Source organism: Homo sapiens, chromosome 8 (assembly GCF_000001405.40).
Source record: "Homo sapiens chromosome 8, GRCh38.p14 Primary Assembly".
NCBI classification, from domain to species: domain Eukaryota; kingdom Metazoa; phylum Chordata; class Mammalia; order Primates; family Hominidae; genus Homo; species Homo sapiens.
Window position 1 is genome coordinate 71507401 of NC_000008.11, and position 26247 is coordinate 71533647.

Genomic DNA, 26247 nt, shown 5'->3' on the forward strand with positions numbered 1-26247 from the left:
TTTAAAAATTTTCTAACAAACTGTCTTGGCAAAGCAGTGGAGAACACAGGCACTCTAACACTTCGCTGGTGACATGTAAACACAACACCTACGGGGGGAAATCCAGCAATCTCACTCCTAGGAATTCATCCCACACATGTAATTGTACACATGCAAGATTATATATTTCTGAGGTTATTATTCTTACAGCATTGTCTGCAATAGCAAAAGATTGGAGAAGCTTTACTTGTCCATCATAATGTCACAGCCATTCGGTAGAATACTACACAACCATAAAAAGAAGAAAGCAGTCTTCTATCCACTAATATGGAATGACCTCCAACATACAGCAAACGCAAAAGCAAGATGCAAACCAGTGGGTATAGTGTGCTATCTTTTGTGTAGAGAAAAGGAATAAGAATATGCATTTGTTGGACATTCTAGGGAGTAAGAAAAGAGGATTCTGAATTCCAAACCCAGGTCCATTCTCAAAGGAAAATCCTTGGCCTAACCTCAAAACATTGACAAATAAGTATACCCTATGCCTTTTAAGTTAAAAATAAAATGATTAAATATGAATTCATTATCTTCATATGAGTCTCCACTATGGCCAACTTTGTCAGTTAATCTAATCATGGCTTGATGGGGTTTAAAGGTGATGCTCTAGGAAAAGTGCCTTCTGCTTAAGGGACCCTCTACATAGTAATGCCACTCACTACCCAAGTGCAGTGACTGCCTCCTTTGTCCTTGTGCTTCTGCACTTTCTCCTTCGTTTGAGTTTCCATTTCTCCGCATTATTCAGAAAAATTTTCTATCCATGCTCTTTCTGAGGTCTTCAGTCATACTATGTAAGTATACAGAACTCACCAGAACAAACTAGAGGGGTTTTGGGGGGTTTTGTTGCTGTTGTTTTTGAGACAGTCTCCTTCTGTCGCCCAGGCTGGAGTGCAGTGGCACGATCTCAGCTCATTGCAACCTCTGCCTCCCAGGTTCAAGAGATCCTCCCACCTCAGCCCCCCAAGTAGCTGGGATTACAGGCACACAACACCAAGCCCAGCTACAAACTAGTGCTTTGAAAGGACACTGTGTAGGGTTGCTATGATCTAAATGTTTATGTCCCCACAAAATTCCTGTTGAAACCTAATCACCAATATGAGTATTAGGTGTTGCCTTTGGGAAATGATTCTGTCATGAGGGTGGAGCCCTCCTGAATGGGATTAGTGGCCTTATAAAAGGGGCCCAAGGTTGCTCATTGTTATTTCCACCTTGTGAGTACACAGTTTGAAGGCACCATCCATGAACAAAATAATGAGTTCTCATTAGACACAGAATCTGCCGGCACCTTGTTCTCAGACCTCCTAACCTCCAGAACTGTGAGAAACAAATTTCCATTTTTAAAGCCACCTCATTTATGGTATTTTATTATAGCATCCTAAACTTCCCAAGACCAGGGTCATCCAGAGAAAAGAGATTTTGTTACGTTTATTCTACTGCACTAAATAACAAGGCCAAAATATGTTACTATTCTATATTTTTATCATAAAAATATATTTTGGTTTGTGCCAGGTGTGGTGGCTCACAACTGTAATCCCAGCACTTTGGGAGGCCGAGGAGAGCAGACTGCTTGAGCCCAAAAGTTTGAGACCAGCCTGGACAGCACAGAGAAACCCCGTCTTTACAAAAAATACAAAAATTAGCCAGGGGTGGTGGTGCCTGCTGTGGTCCCAGTTACTGGGGGAGGTGGAGGGTAGAGGCCAGAGAATCCCTTGAGCCCAAGACGTTGAGGCTGCAGTGAGCCAAGATCACGACACTGCACTGCAGCCTGCGCAACAAAGAGAGACCCGGTCTCAAAATAAATAAATAAATAAATAATTATTTTGTTTTGCTTCTTAAAGCAAGCAAATATATTATTTTTGTGGAAGTATCCTAAATCATACAACTTCACGAGTATTTTATAACCAACCTTATTGCTTTACATAAGGTTAACGTTTTATAATTCATGCAATAAATTATTTATTTTAGGAACTACTTTCACAGAAAAGTAAGTAGACAGTTGGCTCCTTCATAAAGCTACTTTAGAAAGCATGCTTAAGTAGGAAGTAAGCTATCCCTAAAATATATTAATTACCTGTCTAGAAGGGAATTTGGAATCTTTTAAACAAAGAAAAATGTATTCTTTGGCACCAGATTATGTATGCTCCTTACTGAGTGAACTTCAATGCATTTTGACTTCCAGTACCTTAAATTGTGAAGTACAAACCATTTCTCGGCCAATGTAAGTCAATAAAATATAAAAAGAAAATATTTTTACACGCTTCAGTAAGGATGTGTCTACAAATTGCTCACAAATATAAAGAATGCCATTTTTATTTTAAGAATATATTTAGAAAAGGTTTAAATGATAGGCATTTTTATTATGCACTTGAATCTGCTCCACTGGAGAGCATATTGTCCTGTCTCTAAAAAATATTCATTTCCTGCCTTAAAAAGCCAATACTTTAAATAGTGCATAGTAGAAAGCGCTGTGCACAAACAGAATGCTATGGGAATTCAGAAGCAAAATTTAATGCTTCTGGCTGAAGGAATCATAGATGGTAATGGTATTTTTAGATTATTGTTCTGTAATAATATAGTACCCTACCCTCACACTATATATTATTTATTATTTTAATATATAATAAAATATAGTAGTATTTTATTAAAGTTGGGCTTGATCATGTGACTTACTTTGGCCAATGAAATTTTAGCAAACATGATACTAGCAGAGGCTTTAAATGTACTCATTTTCATACTTTATCATGTATTCATTAGACTCAAAATGATGAGAGACTCATGGGTCAAATCTGAAGCAAAGCAAACCCCAAAGCAAGTCCAGCTCACCACGATTGAAAACACAGCTGTCCAGCTGAACCCAGCCCTAAAGCAGCCAAACCATAGTCAACCAGCAGTTGCTTGAGCATGAGATGTTGCAGTAAGTCACTGAGATTTTGAGTTTTTTATGTGGCACTGTATTAGTCCGTTCTCATGCTGCTATGAAGAAATACCTGAGACTGGGTAATTTATAAAGAAAAGAGGCTTAATTGACTCACAGTTCTCCATGGCCAGAGAGGCCTCAGGAAACTTACAATCATGGCAGAAGGTACCTCTCCACAGGGCGGGAGGAGAGAGAATGAGTGCCGAGCGAAGGAGAAAGCCCCTTATAAAACCAACAGATCTGGTGAGAATTCACTCACTATTATGAAATAGCATGAGGGAAACCACTCATATGGTTCAATTACCTCCACCTGGTCCTGACCTTGACACATAGGGGGTTATTACAGTTCAAGGTAACATTGGGTGTGGACACAGAGCCAAACCATATGAAGCACTATTGTGGCAAAAACTGACTGATGATGGATTTTGAATTTCACATGAAGGATGGATAAAATTTAACTATGTGAAAAGGAAAGAAAGGGCTTACAAGGCTGAAGACTCATGTGAGTGAACACATCTTCCAATCCATCACTCAGCTAGATCTTTCTTTCTTTGAAATATTTATTTTTTTGTTTCTTTTTAATTGTGCCAGGGAGGGAGTCTTTTCTCCTTCATATCCTCTCTGAGGTCTTTGCAATATTTCTTGTGTCAATCTGTTTCCTTCCATTCTAACTACTCTGACCCCAGCTTAAGTCATCTTCATATCACACCTATTACTGTAAGAGTCTCCTAAAAAGCCTTCCTCACTTAGTCTCTTTAAACTGCCCTATACATAAAGGCAAAATAAATGGTGCTAAAAAAAAATAAGATCATGTGAAGTCATTGAGAAACCTCCAACACATCCCTGTGCAGACTGAACTTACAAATTTGTCAATCTATTCCTTCATTTTGGTCTATATTTTCTGAGTACCTGTTACATTTCAGCATTGTTACCAGATGTGGGTAATGAAAAACCAAAATTAGCCATGGTCCCTGATCCAAAGGAAGCTAAAACTCATGGAAGAGATGAGCAAGGAAATCAGCTGTTACTTGGCAATGAGACAAGACTATCATAGAAATGTGCAGAAAACTGGCAAACTTTTGGGGCTGGGGACAAAATATCTTCTCAAAAAAGATGATGCTTAATTTGAGGTTTTTTGTTTAGTTTTGTGTTGGAGTAGAAATTAACTCCAGGAAGATGACTGACGGGTCAGGTAAGACTAGCAGGGCATTCCAGGCAGGTAAACAGCATGGATGAGCACAGTGATGGTGCCACAACACAAAGATAACATGGTTAGAATCAAAGGGTGCACGTGGAGAAGAGAGGTGCCTGCATATCCACAAAGCTGTTAGACATCCTGTAAGCTCCACGCCTTATGCTATTGCTTACATGTGGTCACTGTTGTTTATGTTGTCATTTAATAAATCAAGCCTCACGATTGAATAAAAATTTGGAGAATGTATGCAATTAATACAGTAATCTTAAAGGTCATCTTCACACCAACACAAGGAGCAAAGCAGGAAGGGGAGAAAAAACAGCAAACTAGGAACCAGAGGCAGGCTTCCGTATGGGTTCCACTTGTCCCAGACCTGGTTCATTAGCCTGGTGACCTTGACAAAGATGCTTGGAACCAGTGCCCTCAATAGTAAAAAGCAGGCCATATTTCCTGGCTATTCATATTTTGTTGTCATGATCAAATGATATGCATTATGTCATGATCAAATGATATGTATATGTCATGATCAAATGATATCCCAATTTGAAAAGTGCTGCACAAATTCTAAGCATTCCTACTAAATGAAAGAGATTGTACATTTTGTAAAATGCCAACTCCAATTTATCAGAAGTAATCACTAGCTTCTCCATAATTTTTCAGAGTGGCTTCCTGAATGAGTGATAATATCTTCTAAGCTAATTGGTGTTCAAAGCTGAATTTCAGAAAGATGTCCAATAGACCAGAGCTCCATATGTCACAGAGCCGTTATGCAAGAAGGTGGAGAAAAGTTCAGAAAAAAGTTTTTAAAAAAAAGTTTTAAATAAAATCAAAGACTACATGATTTCTTAAAAGAAAAAAAAAGCTCAGATGAGACAATAAAACAATAAAGGGTGATAAAAAGCGAGCAAGCAAAGCTCTAGGAAGAAACAGGAGAAAAAAACTAAAACAGTTACAAAATAAAAGCTACAATGGAAGTAACAATAAATAGAATAAATATGAATGAAATGGTCAGGGACACCAAACAAGCTGGAGAAAGTAATTCAAAACAAATGGAAAAAAATTGAAAATGAATTTTATAAAAGATATATGAGGGACAGATTTTAAAAAAAATCTAACATAAGCATAATGAGCATCTAAAAGGAATCAATCAAGTAAATGAAACAGACCAAAATTTTAAAATGTAATGAAACAAAAGCTTTTCTGAAATTATAATTAAACTTTCCAATCAAAAAATAACACTAATTTCACATAAGATTAATAAAGTTTTCTTAGTAAATAAATGCTTTAAAAAGAAACACCATACCCCACAAAAAGAAAAGCAGTGATAGAGAAAACTATCAAATGTAAGTTGCTACTAAGCCTCAAGAACAAAGAAAGATCATGGGATATTCAAGGAGAAAAATATCTAACCATACACAAGGTGGAAAGATTAAGTTGATCTCATCATTCTCCGCAGTAGCATGCAATAACAGAAGGCATTAGTGTAATCTCTAAAAACAAGGGTAAAAAAGTGAGACTCAATGATCTTATATTCCTCCAAGGTGCCTTTTAAGTATGAAGGTAATAGACACTCTCAAACTTGCACAAAATCAATGAGCATATAGCTCTTCTTGAAAAATTACGCCACTAAAAATTTTAAAACAAACAAAAGAATGGTGACAAAATGTAAATTCACTGAAATAGTACAGTATTTCATATACTTAAGATAAAACTATTAGAATTTTCATAATAGAATATTATAAATCTTGACAATGTCAAAAGATTATAACTTAAAAAATAACTGTAAGATGGGAAAGAACTGAGAAGTGGACTAATTTCTTCAGCTTTATATCAAAAAGTCAATAGTCTGTTTAAAATTGGTAGTTTAAAAAATAGTCTGTCTGAAATTGTAGTTAAAATAATTCTTTTTTAATTTTTAATTTTTGTAGGTATATAGTAGATGTAAATATTTATTAGGTACATGATGTGTTTTGATACAGGCATACCAAGTGAAATAGTCACATCAGGGTAAATGGGGCAACCATCCCCTCAAGCATTTGTCCTTTGAGTCATAAAGCATTCAGTTATCCTCTTTTAGTTATTTTAAAATATACAATTAAGTTATCATTGACTATAGTCACCCTGTTGTGCTATCAAATAGTAGATCTTATTCATTCTTTCTAAATTTTTTCTGTACCCCTTAACCCTCCCACCTCCTCTCCAGCTCCTCACTATGCTTCCCAGCCTTCTACTCTATGATGTCCTTGAGTTCAATTAATTTGATTTTTAGATCCCACAAATACATGAGAACATGCGATGCTTTTCTTTCTCTGCCTGGCTTTTTTCACTTAACATAATGATCTCCAGTTCCACCCATGGAACTGCAGGCATGAAAAGGAATGTGAGATCCTGTCATTTGCAACATGACAAGATCTCTCATTCCTTTTTATGGCTGAATAGTACTCCACTGTGTATATGTACCACGTTTTCTTTATCCATTTATCTGCTGATATACTCTTAGGTTGCTTCCAAATCCTGGCTATTATGAACAGGGCTGTAACAAACATGAGAGTGCAGATATCTCTTCAATATGCTGATTTCACTTATTTTATGTATATACACAGCACTGGAATTGCTGGATCCTATGGGAGCTCTATTTTTAGTTAAAAATAACTTACTTTGTAGATTTGTATTTATCTTTTGCTCTTGAGATTGTCTTTTATAAGTTGATATAACTTGTAAATATAACAGTTTCCTGTAGTTCAGGAATTCTTTACCTCACTTCAGGTTTTTTCTTTTAAAGTCTAATAGAATGAAATATTTTTAATTAAAATATTAATGATATGATCTAACTTTTATAAAATCATTTTTCATCTGTACATATGCATCAAGAAAAGTCTGGAATGATATACAACTGATACTATGTATTAGTCTGTTTTCACACTGCTGATAAAGACATACTCAAGACTGGGAAGAAAAAGAGGTTTCATTGGATTTACAGTTTCACATGGCTGGGAAGGCCTCAGAATCATGGCGGGATGTGAAACGCACTTCTTATATGGCAGTGGCAAGAGAAAATGAGGATGAAGCCAAAGCAGAAACCCCAATAAACCCACCAGATCTTGTAAGACTTATTCACTATCACAAGAATAGCACAGGAAAGATGGGCCCCCATGATTCAATTACCTCCCCCTGGGTCCCTCCCACAACACGTGGGAATTCTGAGAGATACAATTCAAGTTGCGATTTGGGTGGGTACACGGCCAAACCATATCAACTATCAATGGTTATTTCTGATTAGTAGAATTTGAGGTAGCTTTCCTTTGCTTTAGTTTTTAGTTTATTGTATCATTTAAAGTTTTATTTTCAATGTACAATTTTTATAGAAATATCTAAGTCTTTTTAAGAAAACTGAAAAACATTAGTAAAGAAGACAAACAGTAGAGCAAAATTTGTATTAAGATCTGGAATAAGACAACTCCTAATAATTAGCACTAAACCTATCTCAGATCTTCCTTCCTGGTGGCAAGGTTGAAAAGGTAAGACAATGAGTTACACATTTTTAGTGTATGGTAAAAAAAAGCAGAACAAAATCATCTTGAAAGAAAGAGACCAGTGTTAGTTGAGTAGCTACCATATGTCAAGCACTGTCTCATGTATTTCTTACAATCCCATGAAATTCTATTGGCTCATTTTTCAGATGAGGAAGGCCAGATAAGTAACTTGATGTGCATTCCCACAGCTGGTCAGTGGCAAAGCCCAAATAGGAATCCAAGTCATATGATCTCAAAATTATGCTCTAGTCTCTCCAGTTCTCTGCCTCCCAATTTCTGGACCCCAACTCTAAGAGAAACTAATCTAATTTATTATTGTATAATAAAGTGTTCAGTTACTGCTGTGTGAAAGCATTCAGTTAACCACAAGCTCAAAATCAAGTTGAATCTCAATATCAAAAAAAAAAGCCAATTAATTATGTGGTAGCACATTGTTACTAGTGATAAAGTTCATACTACGGTATTGCCATGACGGAAAAGTGCCAAGTCTAGTATTGTTCAAATAAATGATGGGAAACATAGAAAACTATGTAAAACATTTCTTAACCCAAGTCTTTTTTTACACTAATTTGCATTCCTCTTACTTTGAAGATTCTTATGCAATGGGAGCAACTGTTGTAAAGAAAATTAGAATGAAAAGCAAACAAAAACTTTTCAACAATAGTCCGTTGAACATTATAGCCCCTATCAAAACTATAACTGTATATTCTAAATAATCCCAACAAGACCTTTTGCAATTCAAACTTTCTTTTGAAATTCTTATTTATTTTCTATTACTTGACAAGTAATGATGAATATGACAAAGTATGTCCCTACTTTGATATATCACATAAAATATAAAACCTATACAAATATATACTTTTCAAAAGGATGGGATTAATAAACTAAGTATATCCTTACTTTGAATAAACAGGGATTAACAGATATGTAAACATAATCCCAATTTGCCATAATAATTACCCTCTCTATAGCTCAAGTTGGCCTTTGACAGTTACACATGGAAGACTGTAATGTATACAAATAACCTATAGTCACAAAGACAGTTTTTTGGTGCCTCTCCCAATACATACAGTTTGTCTTTTCTCATGTACTCTGTTTATTCTTTCATTCATTTATTCATTCATTCAAGCAATTTTCATTGAATAGCCACTGAGTACCAGGCAATGTGATAGGCTAGTGATTAAGAAACAGGATAGGGTATTCCTCTGAGAATTCACAAGTCATTGGATGAAATATGTGTAAATGGCTACTTGTAAATCAACTTACTAAGGGCCACAGTAGAGCTCTTGAAGGATGGAAGGTGAGAGAGGACAACTAGTTGGAGTTACCAGGGTGAATTCACATGGTTGGCCTTTGACTTCTATATAGAAGGTGGCTTTTGCCAGGCAGAGAAGTCACACAGTATATATGCAGCCAAAGAGGAAAATATGGCTTTTGGAACTCTGAGAGATGGTTCAAGATGATCCTCAGCCAGTAACACATAAATGATTATTTATTATATGCAAATACAAATTTGCACAGTATGGCCAAAAATACAGCCTTATTAGTGTGTTGGCCATTGCCTATAATGTTGTGCTCTCTGAAGAGAAGGGTGCATATGAGACAAAGCCACCTTAGAGGTAGGTTAGTATTAGAGGATGAATACTGGGCTTTCCCACATTCCTGAGTGGACAACTTCTCCTCTAAAAATCTCCCCTTAGTCCTTAGTCTCTCCCTAGCTATGGCCAACCCTTCCCTACTCAGTCAAACTTCTAGAAAAGGTAGTTAAATTCCAATTCTGTATTTCCAGCACCTCATTTCTCCTTTACTTGTCAATACAAGTAATCTGGATTCCACCCTTCACTGTCAAACTCAAACTACTTGTGTTCTATCCACTGCACAACTTTCAGTGCTTAATCAACTTAATTCTACAAAGAAACCTGGAATTGTCCTGTTCCCTCTGGTTCATCTACTTCTCCAGCTGCTCTTCAGTGCTCATAGTTGGCCCCTTCTCCTCTTGCTGGTTCTAATATCCCCATAAATCTTTTTTTGTTTGCTCTTTTTCACCTTTAACACCCCTTCTTAAGTCACCTCACATATTGGCTTCAATATTACCTGTTTGTTGATGATCTCAGATCTATACTTTCAGGCCAGGCCACTCCAGAAACCCATATCCAAATTTTCAACTCTCTACAAACATCATTTGAGTTGCTCCAAAAGCGCTCAGATTCAAATGCCCAAAACTAAACTTATGATCCTATGTCTTTTACAGTTAAACATATCATGATGAATTCTTCTTTTCCATGAAAATCTTTTAAAATATTTTGAAAAATGCATCCTGCCCTCACTAAGCCTTCTATTACCAAGCAACTAGATCATATAACTTATCCAGATGTCAAATTTATAGTAATTTCAAACCAAAAGAAATGACAAATCTATGAATGCTGAAAAAATAGTTATCATAAGGTTCATTAACACAGTTTCAAAGAAAAGATCAGCTACCTTTTACCCAGGTTTCTCATTATTATATATAAAGTGAATACATTTGCTTCACAGTGACTTTAACCAAAGAACTAATATTACTTTTTAAAGATAAAAGATGATCAAGCCCCATTGAGTATGTTGTTCACAAGATAGGAAAACATACTATATATATATATATATATAACTGTATACATATATATAACTGTATATTCTAAATAATTTGGAGATATATATATCAAAAATTAAATTATCAATATGCATTTATTAATTGTAAGTATGGAATTTCATATTTTAATTACTTAAATTCCTGATCAACATATACAATCCCTGATTCCTAATGAAAAATATACAGGATAAAGCACAAAATGCTAACTATTGTCTAAACTAGCAGTTTCCCAATGTTTTTTAATCATAAATTCTTCATCAGTAAAAATTTCAGCACATACGTATCTATACTTTATAGACAAATTGTGCTTTACTAACATATTACATATAATAAAATCTACAAAAATATTTTTTTTCAAAAGGATAGAATTACAAATTAGAAATTTTAATTTCTTCCCATGGCTCAATGCATTGTACAATCATAGAGGATATTCTACTTTATAAAATTTATCAGTCTAAGCAACCATTATCTCTTAATTGTCAACCAATATTTTCAACTGCAAACATTTCTTAAATCTTTACTACATACTTACTTAGAGTCTTAGTTCTTCTTGCCAAAGGCATCTTGACTCACCTTCCCTCCAAAAGTGATTAATATTGCTGACCCCAGTAAACCATCACTTAAACCTCTCAATTTCCTTCTTTTCCAACGTCTATTTCTCCAACTTATTAGACAGCTGACATTTTTAAAATCAGAATCTCAGTGTGCTAAAACAAGAACTTGAAGACGATGTAAAGGTGAAGCGACAATGCTATTTTCTGTCTGTCATGTCTAGGAATAGTGTGACCATTACCTCCCATGAAAGCCTCAGCCTTCAGATGTTTTTCTTATATCTACCATGCACTCGGCCTTTGCAAAAGCAGCTAATCAAACAGAAAACTGGCATAAAAATTAAAGATGAGACTTAGAGAAATAAAGTTTTACAACTTCAGCAATGAGAATGTAGAGTATGAATCAACCCAATGCAAAAACAAGCAAACATCTGAAAACAAATCAAAAGAAATAAAATTATAATTTCTTTTTGTTCAAATTAATTCATTGCATACTTCACCAATTAAAAGAATGAACAATGGCAAGAAACGGGGTTGACATGTTTGTGGCCTTGTTAGTATATACATTACTTTATAATTTTATAAAACTGTAAAATAAAAAACCTAAGTTCATAAAATCAGCTAGTATCTACTAATATCCAGAACTTTTAAATTACAAGTATTATTGAACCCTTTTTTCCTAAATAATACTATAGTAGTACATAGTTGCACTACAAGTCACAAGAAATGTGTAAAAAGCAGTATTTGCCATTTATATCTTAATGTACTGTACAGTTTGGTTACCAATTTCTACTGCCAATTTATTTTCTTCACTAAAAACACAAAGTACTTTTTCCCCTATGACAATGAATATTAACGTAGAATGTAAGGAAGGAATCTCTTGAAAATGGCTTTGATCTCTTCTGAGTTGGAAGACAAAAAACATTTGTTACACCTAGACAGTGCTTCTGCTCATGTGACAGTTTACTTTAAAGATCTCATAGACTTAAAATCTATTCATTTTTAACAGACAAACATGAAATATCTACCCTATTTCTAGTAAACTAATTTAGTGTAGTTAGCTACTTTAAATTATAACTTCCTGTTCATTTAATAAAATTAAGATTAAAATATAGCAACTTTTTAGATGGCAATAAATCAAAGCAATTCATGTTCTCTTTTTTAAAATATTAAGAAAATAATTCAGGTATAAGTGATGAAAATATAGAGAGTTGACTAAAACCTAACCCCTCTAAGTTTTTTTAAGGGTATAATTGTGATTTTGCCAGCAATCTAGGCTTAGTAAATGAGCCTCTGCTATAGACCTTGGAACTTTATGCTCAGTCTGGTTGCCTTCCTGATTACTAAGTCTTTCTAAATTAGAGCAAGCAATTTCTCTTTGTTTTACCTAATATTTGAAAATGGCAAAAAAAAAAAAAAAATCCCCTGGGTCACTGAAAATTATCCTTTCATTCCAGCCGCCTGTTTCAAGTCAGTCAAAACATTCCAGACTTCAAAAGGAGGCTCTGCCTTCTTAGGCCATTTTGGTGTCCCTCTATGGTTGGCCTAGAAGGGATCGGTTATTTGGATAAATTAATTTCTGGAGCCTGCTGGCCTTCTAGAAGACCTCAGTGTCTGACTGCAAATTAGTTCTACTGAACATGAAGAAATCCCTGGACAGGCTAGAAGAAATAAATGGTGATAAAATCTAATACTACAATGTTTGTAATGTGATTTTATTCTGCTATGTGGCTTGTAAGCACAGTTAATGTTGAATTAAATATTTTAAATTTTTAATAAAGGGCATGAAAGCAGAAAATCAGATCAGTATCCAAGTCATAGCAGAAAAGGCTAAAAGCCAACTTTAAAATAAAACTTCCAGCAGGAACCTTTTATGAGAACAAACAATAATGTCCCAGTTTTTTCCACAATCAACTATGTATTTACATTACAGATACAAACCCCCTCATTGGCCCCCCCCTCCACTGAGGCAGGAAGTCATGCAGTTGAATTATGCTTTAGCTGGGCCTGTGAAGAAACTGCTAGGCAGTCCCTGAGCACTGCGCTGTGCAAGTGCCTTAGGAGGCTTATCCTTAAGGAAGAGAAGTCCAGAGCCAAAACTAACAAACAGGGCCCCTCAAGCGGAACAATGGTCCAGAAAACTCAGCAAAAAAGAAAATAAACTTCATTGGCAGTTTGTTTTTGACTGTTAAGAGCTTAACTACAACTCTATCAAGATTTTTAAGAAGGTAAGAAATTTCACACATACTGCATTCTCACAGCTGCTTGAGAGTTTATAGTGCAAATGTATCATCTTGTCTTGCCACGTCTAATCCACTTTAGGAGATACTTGTATCTTTTCTTTCCAAAGTAAACAGAATCACACCTCTGAGAAAGAGATGAAGAACACTTCCTCTCCCCACCTTCACACCCCCAGGGCCAGAGTTCAGCTTGAGTGAGCTGATCTAGCTCCTCATCAACTTTTGCTAATGCTATCTAAGGGTTTAAAGCAGTTGAGATAATGAAGTTCGGAAATAAAGACTAAAGCTGTGACTTTTTTTACATTCAAAAATATATGCGTGCAAAATAACCTAAAATGCAGTATTCTCAAAAATTAAAAAAAGTTAACACATGTCATTTTAAAACTTACATAAGGAATTGCAATTATATTATCTTTGTAGTTAGCTGCAAATATATTCTGGTTCCCAAAGTACCATGAATCTCAACAGGTAATTAAATTTGATAGTTAAAACAAAAATGTTTATCACAAGACTGGACACAATAGGTTAACTATTGTTCCAATCCTACACTTGGGTCACCTCTTTTTAAAAAAAAAAAATCTTTATTTTTTTCTAATTCAAATTAAGCCAGCATTACTTAGAATTGAATCAAAGAGAATATACACAGTATGACCAATAATAGATGGAAATGAACAATAGAAGTAGATACATATAGTAAATTAATAATAATAGCATCAACAAATACTGAGAACAAAACTACAAAAATGGCTGAATATGTTTTCAGTCATATCTTAAATCTGTCCTCAATACCACTCACATTTCAGTGACGTGGAATTAAGGCTAAGATCATCATATTTGTGAGTTTCATTTTAATTTAACTGAGATACTCATAGTCTAATTGTTTTGAAAAATGTGGAACTACATATGGGAATTATAAATTATTTCCCATATGTAGTTCCAAATTTTGTTATATTTTGATATATAAAGAAACAAAAGAAGTTAAACAAAACACTGTTTAAAGCAAAATGAACATGCAACTGTAGATTCACTACAGAAATTTCTAAAAGTATAATGCATGGAAATGCATGCATCTATTAACCAGAGAAATCACTGTAGAATTCTCTTCTGTAAAACTTTAAATGGTGAAACAGGGTCTCTTAACATATATTTTTAAACCATCAAAATCTAAACATACTTCTTTTTTCCCCCAAATGCAAAAAAATGTTAAGTGAATTGCTTTATAAACCTTAAGTCAATGGTTTCCAAGCATTTCACAAGCATGACTCTGTTATACTTTTCTCTCAAGGCTGCACGTTTTCAAAGGTTTTTATTACGTAGGCACTAAGTAATCAGTTAGATAGCCCATTTTAAGTTCAGATTTTTAACTATCAATCTGAGCTTCTATTAGAAAGATAATACAAGAAAGAGAAGAGAAAAGAAACAGGATAAGTTCCTTGAGTTAATTTATGACAAACTGAAGCTTATAAAGCTTATTGCTTAATCATGGATCATATGTCATTTTGCTAAATATTAAGAAGAATTAAGGGACTTTACTACATCATGGGGCTCATAGAGGGCTTGAAAACTAGCATGGAAATTTCAAAAGTATTTATAATCTGTATGTGCTTTATGTGAAACTTTCTGGAAAAATATAGCAAGGTTTCATTAAAATTATATGCTAAACCCAAAGGAACAGCCGAGAGCATTATGCATTTTGCCTCCTTGAATATGGAAAAACCACCTTGATCCTTATAGCCCCACTTACTCTCTTTCATTAAGCACTAGGTAATAAATCATGAATTCACTAAATCTCAGCAGTGGAAAGGATTTTAGAAGTAATCCAGTTCCACATTATTTTCTATGCAGGAGTCTCCAATAGATTATCACCAAGCAGTAATGAGCTAAAGCTGTATATGTAAAGTGCTTAGAATGGTCTCTGCTACACAGTAAGTGCCTAATACATGTTCTTTATTTTCTGTAGTAATAGGCACTGGACATCTCCAAAGAAATAGAACTAATATCTCCAAAGAAAATCAGCTGATTTAATCTCTTTTTGTAACTTGTAGTGCTTAAGGACTGTTAGTGGTTTAATGACTTAAAAATATATGATGTATGGAAAATTCTGCTATCAATACAAACTTTTTTTTTTTTTTTTTTTGAGACAGGATCTCTCTGTCACCCAGGCTGGAGTGCAGTGGTGTGATCACAGCTTACTGCAGCCTTGACCTCCAGGGCTCAAGTGCTCCTGCCTCCCAACTAGTTGAGACCCCAGGCCCATGCCACCACACCTGGCTAATGTTTTTATTTTTTTGTAGAGAGTGGTCTCACTATGTTGCCCAGGCTGGCCCTGAGCTTCTAGGTTCAAGCAATCCTCCCACCTTAGCTTCCCAAATGGCTAGGATTACAGGCGTGGGCCACTGCACCTGACCTCAAGCGTTTTGGCAACAACTTGAAAGGACTCTTGGAACAAGTTAATATGCAATTCTATTATATTTTCATTTTGTAGCAAAATACACTTATGTTAAAACTTTTCATTATAGGATTATAAAATTGTTTTTCTCCCTTTACAAGTGCCTTTAGAATTTACTATCTTTTCTCATGTTTTAAGGTGGGTGAGAACATTACAAGAATTTCGGGCCTGGTCTTCCAAAGTAATATAAAAATCTATTCAGCTCTTTTTCTTTTCTTTTTTCTTTTTCTTTTTTTTTTTTTTTTTGAGACGGAGTCTCGCTTTGTCATCCAGGCTGGAATGCAGTGGCGCGATCTCGGCTCACTGCAAGCTCCGCCTCCCAGGTTCACGCCATTCTCCTGCCTCAGCCTCCCGGGTAGCTGGGACTACAGGCACCCGCCACCACGCCTGGCTAATTTTTTGTATGCTTAGTAGAGACGGGGTTTCACTGTGTTAGCCAGGATGGTCTCCATCTCCTGACCTCGTGATCCACCCGCCTCGGCCTCCCAAAGTGCTGGGATTACAGGCGTGACCTACCGCGCCCGGCCAAAAATCTATTCAGCTCTTATTGGCAGTGAAGGTGAAAGCCACTAACCTCAGTTACAGTTACAGCAAATCAATCACCTTTGTCCTAAAAAGTTAATGTAACTTTCAAAGGACTCTAATGCTCAAAGTAATGAGAAGTTCACCATAGAATCTCATTGCACACTTGTGTGAATTAGCCCTGTTATTTCTCTTGCTGCCATTACTAATGGTTCTGTGAATTATAGTCCCCATTCAATGTCATAAATAGATCATATGTTCATTTGAAAATTTTTATTGGCTACCATTTTGTTTTAAGATGGCAGCCTGGCTCATAGTTTAAATTCCAAACGAGTAAGAAACATGTATATCAATTTTGAGATACCATATTTTAGAAAATTATCCTAGGGCAAACAGAAAGATAATCATTTTTTTAAGGCTAGATAAAATAAAATGAAATTGATGAAGTTAAAATACAGATCTGATTTTGTTAGTCCCCACTAAATAGTGAGTACACTTCTTTCCCCAAGTAATTTGGAAGCTGAGCAAACAGCTAATTCTAATGTGTAATGTAAACTTTTTAACAAATGAATTTTAATAAAAGCCAACTTTATAAATGAAATTTATAAGTTATTTGAGTTCCATTTAATCACCAACAGCTTCCTATTTTGAGAACACAAGTGGTCAATGCAGGCATACTAACCAAATAGAAACATTTTTCAGATACATAATTTCACACACAAAATATTTTTGAACTCATTTTTAAAGTTAACCCTCCCAATTTACCAGATGAGGCTAGGTAATCATGGTATTGTGTTAATGTTTCACAGAAACTTAGATGAACACATCACTAAAAATCACCAGTGTGAGCACTGAGAATGAATAAAGTAAAACGTGTACTAGGTCATTTTTCCTTATGACAGAAAAAGCTAATTTTTTAAATAGAAATTAGAAATGTTATATTAAATAATCAATCCCAAACCCAGTATTCATTTTTAGGCTTGTAAAATATGACTAGTATTAAAGTTAATACCTGAATATGCAAAGCATAAAATTTTATTCTTGAAAAACATCCCTGTGATAGCTATACTTTGATAGAAATACAACAGCCTCATTAAAGAAAGAAATCATCACATACTATATACTTTGCCAAATGTTTTTGATATAATAAAAAATCTGAGTATTTCTAAACATCAGAATAAATTACCATGAATTCTGGAATCCCTGAATGGAATTTTAGTTTATACCTGAATTAAGCAATAACAAGAATGGGCGAGTGAATGTCACCCATTGCAATATTTGTATGGCCCAATACAATGATCTCTGGCATCCCTTTGGACTATGGACAGCATATTTCAAAATGAAAAAAACCAATTAAATAAAATCAGTAATTTAAAAAAGGTTTCTTTTCCCTTTTTACTTATAGAAAGAAGGAATAACTGTTAAGGAGGACACAGGAAGTATTGTTTTTGTTTCGGAATACTGCCTGGAAGAAAACACACACATTTGTTGCCTTTTGAGATATGCTCTTGATAAACAGTAGAGTTTGTATGTTACTACATTGCTTACTAAAGCCATCATGATTGTCTTTTGATCCTCATGATCATTCTGAGATACCCAGTATTGAAATACTATCCTCATTTTAGAGATGAAGATGGGGGCTCAGAGATGATCAGAGATTTGCACACACTTGGGCAGCAGCTGAGTCAGGGCTCCAACACAAGCGTTCCATCGCCTGACAAACCCACTCTCCCTCCTCTACCCTCACAGGTATGCACTGAATTAACGTGGTAAGAATGCAAGTTCAGTTACTGTTTTATTGATACAAGATGGGAGTACAAAGTCACAGAGTTGCATGAAATCAAAATTTAAAAAAATATATGAGAATGTGAGTCTAATTTATGTCGTTTGAATTTGGGAGACCACTTAAGGAAATTTCATGAATTCCTTTGAAATATAAACATTAATTGATCTAATTGAATCTAGTGGAGTACCTTAGAAAAATTTTTCAATGAATAGAATTTATTTGCACAAAGGACATGAAATTTTTGGTATGTGATTGTTAACATATTTTGCCCACCTAATTTCATGTATTCATGTACATAAGCTAAATTAATCTATATTATTAATTTCTTTATAATCCAATTTTTGTAAAGGAACATTTAAAAAATTAACCTCACCCTCAAATTATCAAAAATTTTCAATTAATAGAGTTCCAGTTAATGATGTTTAATAGCCGTGGTGTTTGTTTTTAGGTTACCTGTTACCTTCATGAAACCTGGCAGAGCAAAAAAACCTCTGAGCTTGATCCTGGCCTGTTTCCAAAGGTGCTTGATTCCCTGGAGACAAGTGGGGGCTAAAGCTGCCACACTAGCAGGCCTGAAGATCTTTTTCTGTTTACAAAACCTTGGCTCCAGGCAATTGTACTTATTCACTCATTCAACCAAAACATTTTGCACATCATGTGCAAAATAGCGAAAGGACTGAGTGACAGAGGGAGTGTGGTTGTTTCTTTTGCATATTCTCTACCCTCAAACAGCTCATGGCCTAGAAGGCAAATAGCCTTTTAAGTTTGGGTGAACAATATAAGCTAGAATAAAATATATGCTAATTAGCAGTTCAAAGCACTTATTGTGTGAAGAATTAAGATTCTGTTTCAGAGGAGCAGATAAAGATAAATAAATTGACCTCTGAATGTATCCAGTCTACAAAAATACCCAGTGATAGATTCTGCATAAAACAGGAGAAAGAAGAGTCATATTAATGTATATTACATATATATATTAATATGTATATATGTTACATATATAATTACACATATTTATATAATTAGTTATACATAGTATATATGCTACTTAATATAATTAATTATATTCATGATCAAGCTTCACTTCTCTTCAAAAATACTGATTATCAATTTTAATGGAAAAATAGGTTGATAGGATCCCTGTATTAGTGATCTATCATGGTGTAACAGATTTATTATCTCACACAAATTTTGAGGGGCAGAAATCTGGGAGCAGTTTAGCTGGGTGGTACTAGCTCAGGGTCTCATGAGAACATATCTTGGCTATCTGCTGGGGCTGCAGTCATCTGAAGGCTTAACTGGGGCTGCATGATCTGCTTGTAAGATGGCTCACTCCCATGGTTGTTGTGGAAGGCTTCAGTCCCTGGCCACATGTGCCCCTCCACAGGGATGCCTGAGTGCCCTTGCAACATAGCAGCTGGCTTCCTCCAGAGTGAGTGATCCAACAGAGAGCAGGGAGAAAGCCATACGGGCCTTTGTGACCTAGTGTCCACAGTGGCCACTGTCACTTCTGCTGTTTTTTTCTCCCTATTAGAATTGAGTCACTAAGTCCAGACTACACTCAAGGAGAGGGTTCATCCAAAGGGACCCCCTTACAAGGCTCCATCTCTTAAAGGGAGGAGTATCAAAGAATTTGTGAACATATTTTAAAATCACCACAAACACATCCTGGGAATGGGATACAAAATGTAGAAGTATTTCTTTATCACTATTCTAGGCATGTTTTAAAATTAATCATAGGAAAATTGTATATGATACTATACATAAATAAAATTATGGATGCACAGAAATGTGGACATCAAAGAATCATTATCACATTAGAGCCAACATAAAGATATACTCTGGGTTCTACAACAAGATTCATTGGCTGAGGGATGAAGAAGATTTGGGAAAAAAAGAGAAGCAGGATTTAGAAATATAGAAATGTATCACACTAGGGTTCAAATGCAATCCTGGAACTATGGAACTAGATCACCAAACTGAGTACTTGAGTTCACACGGATGCTTGACTTTGATGATTGGTCTTCCTGCCCATCCCTTGGTGACCACCACACATTTATTTTGTGATGCAAAGACTTTATTAACTTCAGTTATCCTATACAGTAAGGACACCAGTCGAATCATACTGTGTTAAAATTAGAAGAGATCTTCTCCCAAATTCTTCATTTTACAAATAAAGAAAATGAGGCCCAGAGAGAGAGTAAACAGTCACATTCAAGATGTCAGGGCTAGCCTGATAGGAACAAAATGAGAAATCTTGAAAGGAGAGAGCGCACAACTGTAGACCCACCTTGCGTGCAGGGGCAGTCATCCCTGGGTATCTGTGGAAGACTGGTTCCAAAACTCTCACAGATAGTAAAATCCTTGGATTCCCCAGCCCCTTAAGTTGGTCCTCTTTATTCACCAGTTCTGCATCCCATCTGCAGATAGGAAGGGCTCACTGAGGTAACAACAGAACAATGCATGAATCCTCATTTTATCTACATGCATTAACATTATCCTGGGACTCTGTTCCATATGTCTATGGCAACTTTCATGCCATGTCTGCAGAGTTATAGGCATGTGATAAGAGATTTTCTGGCCCTGGAAGCCTATAATATTTCCTATCTGGTCCTTTATAGAATAAATTAATTGTATTATTGCTATACCAAAATGGCTTTCTTATTGTAGCTCACATTTCTGGTGATTACCAGATTTCTTTAAGTATTTAAACCACCCTCCCTAGCCCTCGCCCCCACCCCTCACACATAAAAAAACAAAGTCCTAAAGTCTGTGGCTTTTATTCAGAAAGAGAGATCCACATGCCCCAATTGCTAACTGCTCACTGACACAAGTTCATAGTTCTTTAAGCTCTCACACTCCTGCATGTTAAGAGTGCCAGATCAGAGGCAGCCAGGGGCAATGAGTCTCAATGGTTAGGGCCCCTCTTTCCTTTCTTTCCAGCATCAGCCACAAGCAATTTTCATCTTTGTCACACTCCATCTGTTTGGTGCATATGGACCAAGTGAGCTACACCAGAACACAAGATATTGGCCAGCTCAGATAAACAAACATTTACTGAGTGCAGGTAGAGGGCTTGACATTGTGTTTGGCCCTGGAAATATAAACATGTCACTGTCCTGGCTCTGGAGTAATTTTCCTGTCAAGGTTTTATTTTTTACTGAAAATACCCAACTGCTAATACAACCTGGTGCCCAATGTGAACTTTGACGTCCAGTCTTTTTGAAACTCTCAGATCACATTCTATCCTGGGCTCCTTTACTGTGCCCAAGCCAGCCTTGCCTGTTCAAATGAAAAATTTTGCCTAATTCCTTCCAGCATGGTCTGATGTTCCAAGTCACAACCTCATCTTAACCCTGTGAATGTCTGTCCATTACATCAGAATTAACAGATAGTACCTCATTCCCCCAGTCAAATACATTTTAATTAAATAACGACTAGTGAGGCCATCCCAGCTCAAATTTGAATCCAAGAAGTTGAGGTCCTGAATCTGCGCTCTCATTCACGGTACGTCTTTCATATGTTATTTTTAATCACACAATCATGCAAGAAAGGTATTATTATGCCTAATTTACAAATGAGAAAGAACTGAGGCTTGGAAAGGCGAAAACAGCTTGCCCAAGTACAGAGCTAAGGCTCAAGCAGATGTGTCTGACTTTAAATGTCCTGCCCTTTCCAAAAAGATGTTTCACTGGCCTTGACGCTAGTGGCTGTATATACTGCTTTACAGTTTACAAAGTGCTTTGGCATATGGTATCTTTATTTCTTCATCCTGGGGACCCAGCAATATAGGTCTGTTATCTCTACTGGTAAAAAACAAAATTGAGGCGTAGAAATTGAAATTAATTTCATGAAGTTATTCATTGAAATAATTCTTAGAATAAACTGTGACTCAGAACCAGAAATTCTGAATCCAAGTCAAGGTTCTCTTCACTATGCCTAATTGCCTTCCCAAGTTCAAGTTATTATCTATTTGCTGAGTACCCATCACATCCGAAAAGACTACCCCAACTCTAGGCCTTACTGCTTCATGCCAAAAATGCAAATCATTGTTGCTATCAGATAGATAAACAGAAAGATGAAAAATTAGTACACTAGAGATACAGCATTTAACTGATAGTTGTTAAAAAGCCTTAAGTATTGGAAAATAATTATATATTCATTATTAGATACTTCCATCAAATAGATTATAGGTGATGGCATATCAAGGGTTAAATCTCCCCATCTGCAAAATGATGAGGTAGGATCAGATATGTGCTTTCAAACTGGTGCTTCAATGATCTCAAAATGGGAGTTTTTGAAGGTCCATCCCAATAGCCAACTATTGGGTGGTCAGCCCAGCCTCTCCTCTGGGAACTGTGGTGTTTCTGCTGCAGCGACCTGCTCTATCAGGCACAGGATCATGATGCATCCAGGACCGGTCAGAGGTTTTCTTCCTACATGGTGGATGACCCAGTAATGTATAAACCATGGTGGGTTAGCCAGCACTGTGCAAGGGGAACAGAGAAAGCCAGTCTATAAACAAAAAGAGGACTGAATAAAATGTGCAGAAAAAAGAAAAAAAAATTACCTGAATTCCCCAGATGCCCTCTTTCTTAAGACTTTCCTTTTGTTTTCTTATGCCAGCTCATGGTAAGTTCCATTACTTGCAACCACATAAACTAGAGTTATTCAAGGTGCTGAGACAGGAGGGGGATAGGTAGACAAAAAGATAAGGGTTTAGGCCTCACACTCTTATTAGTTTTTGTTATGGGTTGAATTGTATCTCTCCAGAAACAATAAGTAGAAATCCTAATCCCCAGTATCTGTGACTGTGACTTTATTTGGAAATAGGGTCTTTACAAGAAGTAATCAAATTAAGATGAGGTCATTAAGATAGGCCCTAATCTAATATCACTGGTGTCTTTATAAGAAGAGAAGGAGGGGCACAGATGTAAGAGGGACAAAGGCCATGTGACAATATAGGCAGAGATTGAAGTGCTGCAGCTACAAGTCACAGAAAGCCAAGGATGGCCGGTGCACTCCCAGAAGCTAAGGAAGGATTCCCCTCCAGGTTCCAGAGGGAGCATGGCCCTGCTAACATGTTGAATTTGGACTTCTAGCCTCTAGAACTGTGCAACAATGAATTTCTGTTGTTTTAAGCCACCCACTTTGTGGTACTTTGTTACAGAAGTCCTAAGAAAAGAATGCAGGCTTCTAATAAAGATGCTCGGCTTTAAAAAATGAAATTGTAAATCTCTGGATTCCATGGTTTTATATTTAAGTTATCTAAAAGTTTCACTTACATAAAATATCTCACTTGGGGTGAAGCTGAATAAATGCAACCCTGATTTAGTATAAAATTTCCCAGTTCACTTCTACATGTGTATTATACTTGTATAACTACTTTTAGTAACTTCTGCTAAAGAGTGGGTTTCTTTCTATTAAAAAATAAATAATTAATTTTTCCAGTTTGGTTAAAAGTCACCTTTTATTTCTAGCATCTCCAAGTACAGGAATAACGTACATACATGTTTTATTTAATAGTTTTCTTGCAAAACCCAGCATCTCAGCAAAAGCTGCTGTTAGCACTTCAAATTTATCATAACTTAAAGGGAGACACAAGAGGTACAGTTATGAGAGTACAATGGAGCCCTAAAGTAAAATTAGTCCACAAAGATCTAGAATATCATCATCTAAATTTTTTGAAAGAAAAGTAAGTTAAGTATCTACCATTTATAACAAAATGCTCCTTTTAGAGTCTTAGGAGACCTAATTCCACCCCCCAATGCATGAGCTGACAACATCATGATCAAACATATGCAGGGTTAGTGTTTATAATACCTGATGCAGGTGTGATGGTCACATTTTTAAAATTGTATTGTAGACTTGCAGGTGGCCAGATAATTTTTTATTCATGGTCGTTTATTCATTTTTCTGGAGATGTTTCCAATAAAAAGTGAATTAGAGTTATGTTGCACTTTTCATTTTCAAAGAACATTTGAATCCATGATCCCACTTGACCTACAAAATTGTGATTTTAAATCAGAGAAGGCAAATATTATCATATCTGTTTTATAGCAGAAGAGGTTGATGCTTATAAACCTGCCCCAGGTCATACAGCTAGTAAAAGATAAAACCAGGTCTTACGACTTCAAGTCTAAAATGTAGTTTCCAAAAAACTAGGCTCTCTCTATTTGATTCAGACACAAGTTTTGGGTTATCGAGTGGTGGGTTTTTAACTGCAGCCCTCACAACTTCATAAGGAAAATAGAATGATATATTTTTAAAATTCACTTTTAAAAAAGTGAGTATGTGCTTTTTTTTTTATCTTGACATGATTTCTTTCTAGAAATCCTAGTAAACTAAAGAAACTGAAAGAAGCGGTTATAACTCTGCTGTTTGATGCTTGTGTTTCCAGTGTTTACCTTGGATCAGGACAACCACTAAGGTATCAGCAGTTCCACTGCCATGGCTGCTAAGAGCGTGGAACTGTGCTCATCCAGATGGGAACCCTTCAGAGGCAAACAGAGGAGTGGCCAAGATCATGACAGAAATGATGTGAAAGCCCACAAACCTCCTCCTCTCCATGATGTCCTCATGAAGTGAAGAGAAGAGTGGGTAGAACTTACAAAATCACACGTGTTACTGACTCTTCCTAAATGTGGGAGACACATAAGCAGAACCTTCCAGAATTAGAAAGGTGGACTTTCTGACTTAACGTTTCTACTCAGGGTCATGTCTACATAGGATCAAAATAAGAAGTAACTTCACCTCTGCCCATGGTCTTTCATCATAGGATGGACACATTTCCAAACCTCTGCTAGGGTCATGAGGCTACATGATAGGAATATTGCACTTTTCAGTGTTCATACGATTAGCTATTTCCCCTCCCTCAAGTATCATCAGTTCCCTCAGAATTTTTAGCTTCAAATCTCACAATGACAGTGGCAGCACCAAGATGAAGAATGCACACACCCTTGGAATGAACACACTCTTGTTTAAGGGCTTCCCTGCACTGCCACCCTCCCATCCACTGAAAGCACAGGGAAGCTCCTCTTAGCCTTTCCCCCAGAGAGAGAGACTCTCTAGGCTCTGCAGACATCATGGAGCCAAAATTACACTGGTAGCTATTGCCAGCCTCCTCCTCAGCCCAGAGCTCTGAGCTGAAAGAAAGACATGAAGAGGCATCGCCACCTTCTCTTTTGATCTTGTCACATATGTATCTATGTAGTAGAGAAAGAACCATTGAGACTTGAGAAAGAATTGTTGTTTACAAAAGCAATAAAGATTCATAATATTATACTAATAATAGCACATGTTGAGAGTTACAAATATGCTTTGTAAGCTAGCATTGTGTGAAAAAACTTTCAAGAAGTATTATTTTGTCTTTAATATCATCTTTCTGAAAAGATCAAAGGTCCGATTCCTATCAGAAATATGCGTAGGGAGGCAAGTATTTCAACCTTACTAGAAAAGGCACAATCCAGAATGCACCATTAGCAGGTGTAATTCTGTGAGCAAAGGGCTACAGAGTGTAAGAAAGAGGTACAAAATAATAAAGCTGGAAAGGACCTTAGGTTATATGGATTTTACTTCTCTCATTTTACAGATGCAAAAATCAAGGTCCCCAGAGAAGTATTTGGAATATACTTAATATATTTTTAAAAGAATATATCATGGACACAATGGATACAACTCATCCATAAAAAAGAATAACCTACGGACATGTGCAACATCACTGATGACTCTCACAGACATGGTCCTAGGTGAAAGAAGCCAGAAACACACTGAGGATTCCATTTGCATGAACTTTTAGAACAGGCAAAACTGATGCAAAGTGGAAACAATTAGAACAGCGGTTGCCTGTGGGGTGAGAGGATGAGTACTGGGGAAGTACTGAGTGTGAAGGGTCCAAGAGGGCTTTCTGGGAAGATGGAGCTCTTCCAATTTATGACACAAGGTGTAGGTTACACGGCTACATCCATTTGTCACAATGGGGCAGTTAAGACTTGTGCCTTTTAATCCATATACATTTTATCTTAAAAAACTGTAAAGAAAAACAGCAATCTTTCAGTGGTGGTATGACGAGTAGGTGGGGGGAAGATGGAATGAGAATGGCCAAATGCTGTTAACTGTTGAAGTGGGCACAGGGATTTACTCTAAATATGGCTGAAACTTTTTGTGACATAAACTTGTGAAAGATGAATGTGATGAGCAAGGGAATGTTCAATCATATTTGGAAGTGTGAGCACTTGGGATACTGGTCCAGGACTCTTTTCAATTCCTTAAGGAGACAGGGCCTTGGGTGTGTCGCCCAGGCTAGAGTACAGTAGCGCAACCACCTTTAAATTCTTTATATTCTTGAGTTACCTTAATGTTTTTAGCTATGTTCTAGGTCCTCTTCCCA

General features: G+C 36.1%; 1 protein-coding gene and 1 long non-coding RNA gene across 18 annotated transcripts in view; one reads left to right on the forward strand and one right to left on the reverse strand.

Annotated features, from left to right (window-relative positions):
* EYA1 (EYA transcriptional coactivator and phosphatase 1) overlaps positions 1–26247 on the reverse strand; it is a 350662-nt gene that overhangs the window by 309968 nt on the left and 14447 nt on the right. The window contains exons 3-4 of one of the 17 annotated variants that reach the window (NM_001370335.1): positions 23682–23861; positions 22429–22537 (exon numbers count right to left, since the gene is read on the reverse strand). The exons of 15 other annotated variants lie outside the window; for them this stretch is intronic. Coding sequence is in view for 1 of the 2 variants with exons in the window: in XM_047421520.1 (XP_047277476.1) it covers positions 20149–20169 (21 nt within the window). In the remaining variant the exon portion in view is untranslated. Of the gene's footprint in view, positions 1–20148; positions 20502–22428; positions 22538–23681; positions 23862–26247 lie in introns of those variants that run through there. One more of the 17 variants, XM_047421520.1, reaches the window with a different exon arrangement.
* Positions 2884–24386, forward strand: LOC124901961 (uncharacterized). The gene is made up of 3 exons (XR_007060962.1): positions 2884–2950; positions 17698–17821; positions 24259–24386. It is a non-coding gene; the product is annotated as an uncharacterized LOC124901961 (long non-coding RNA).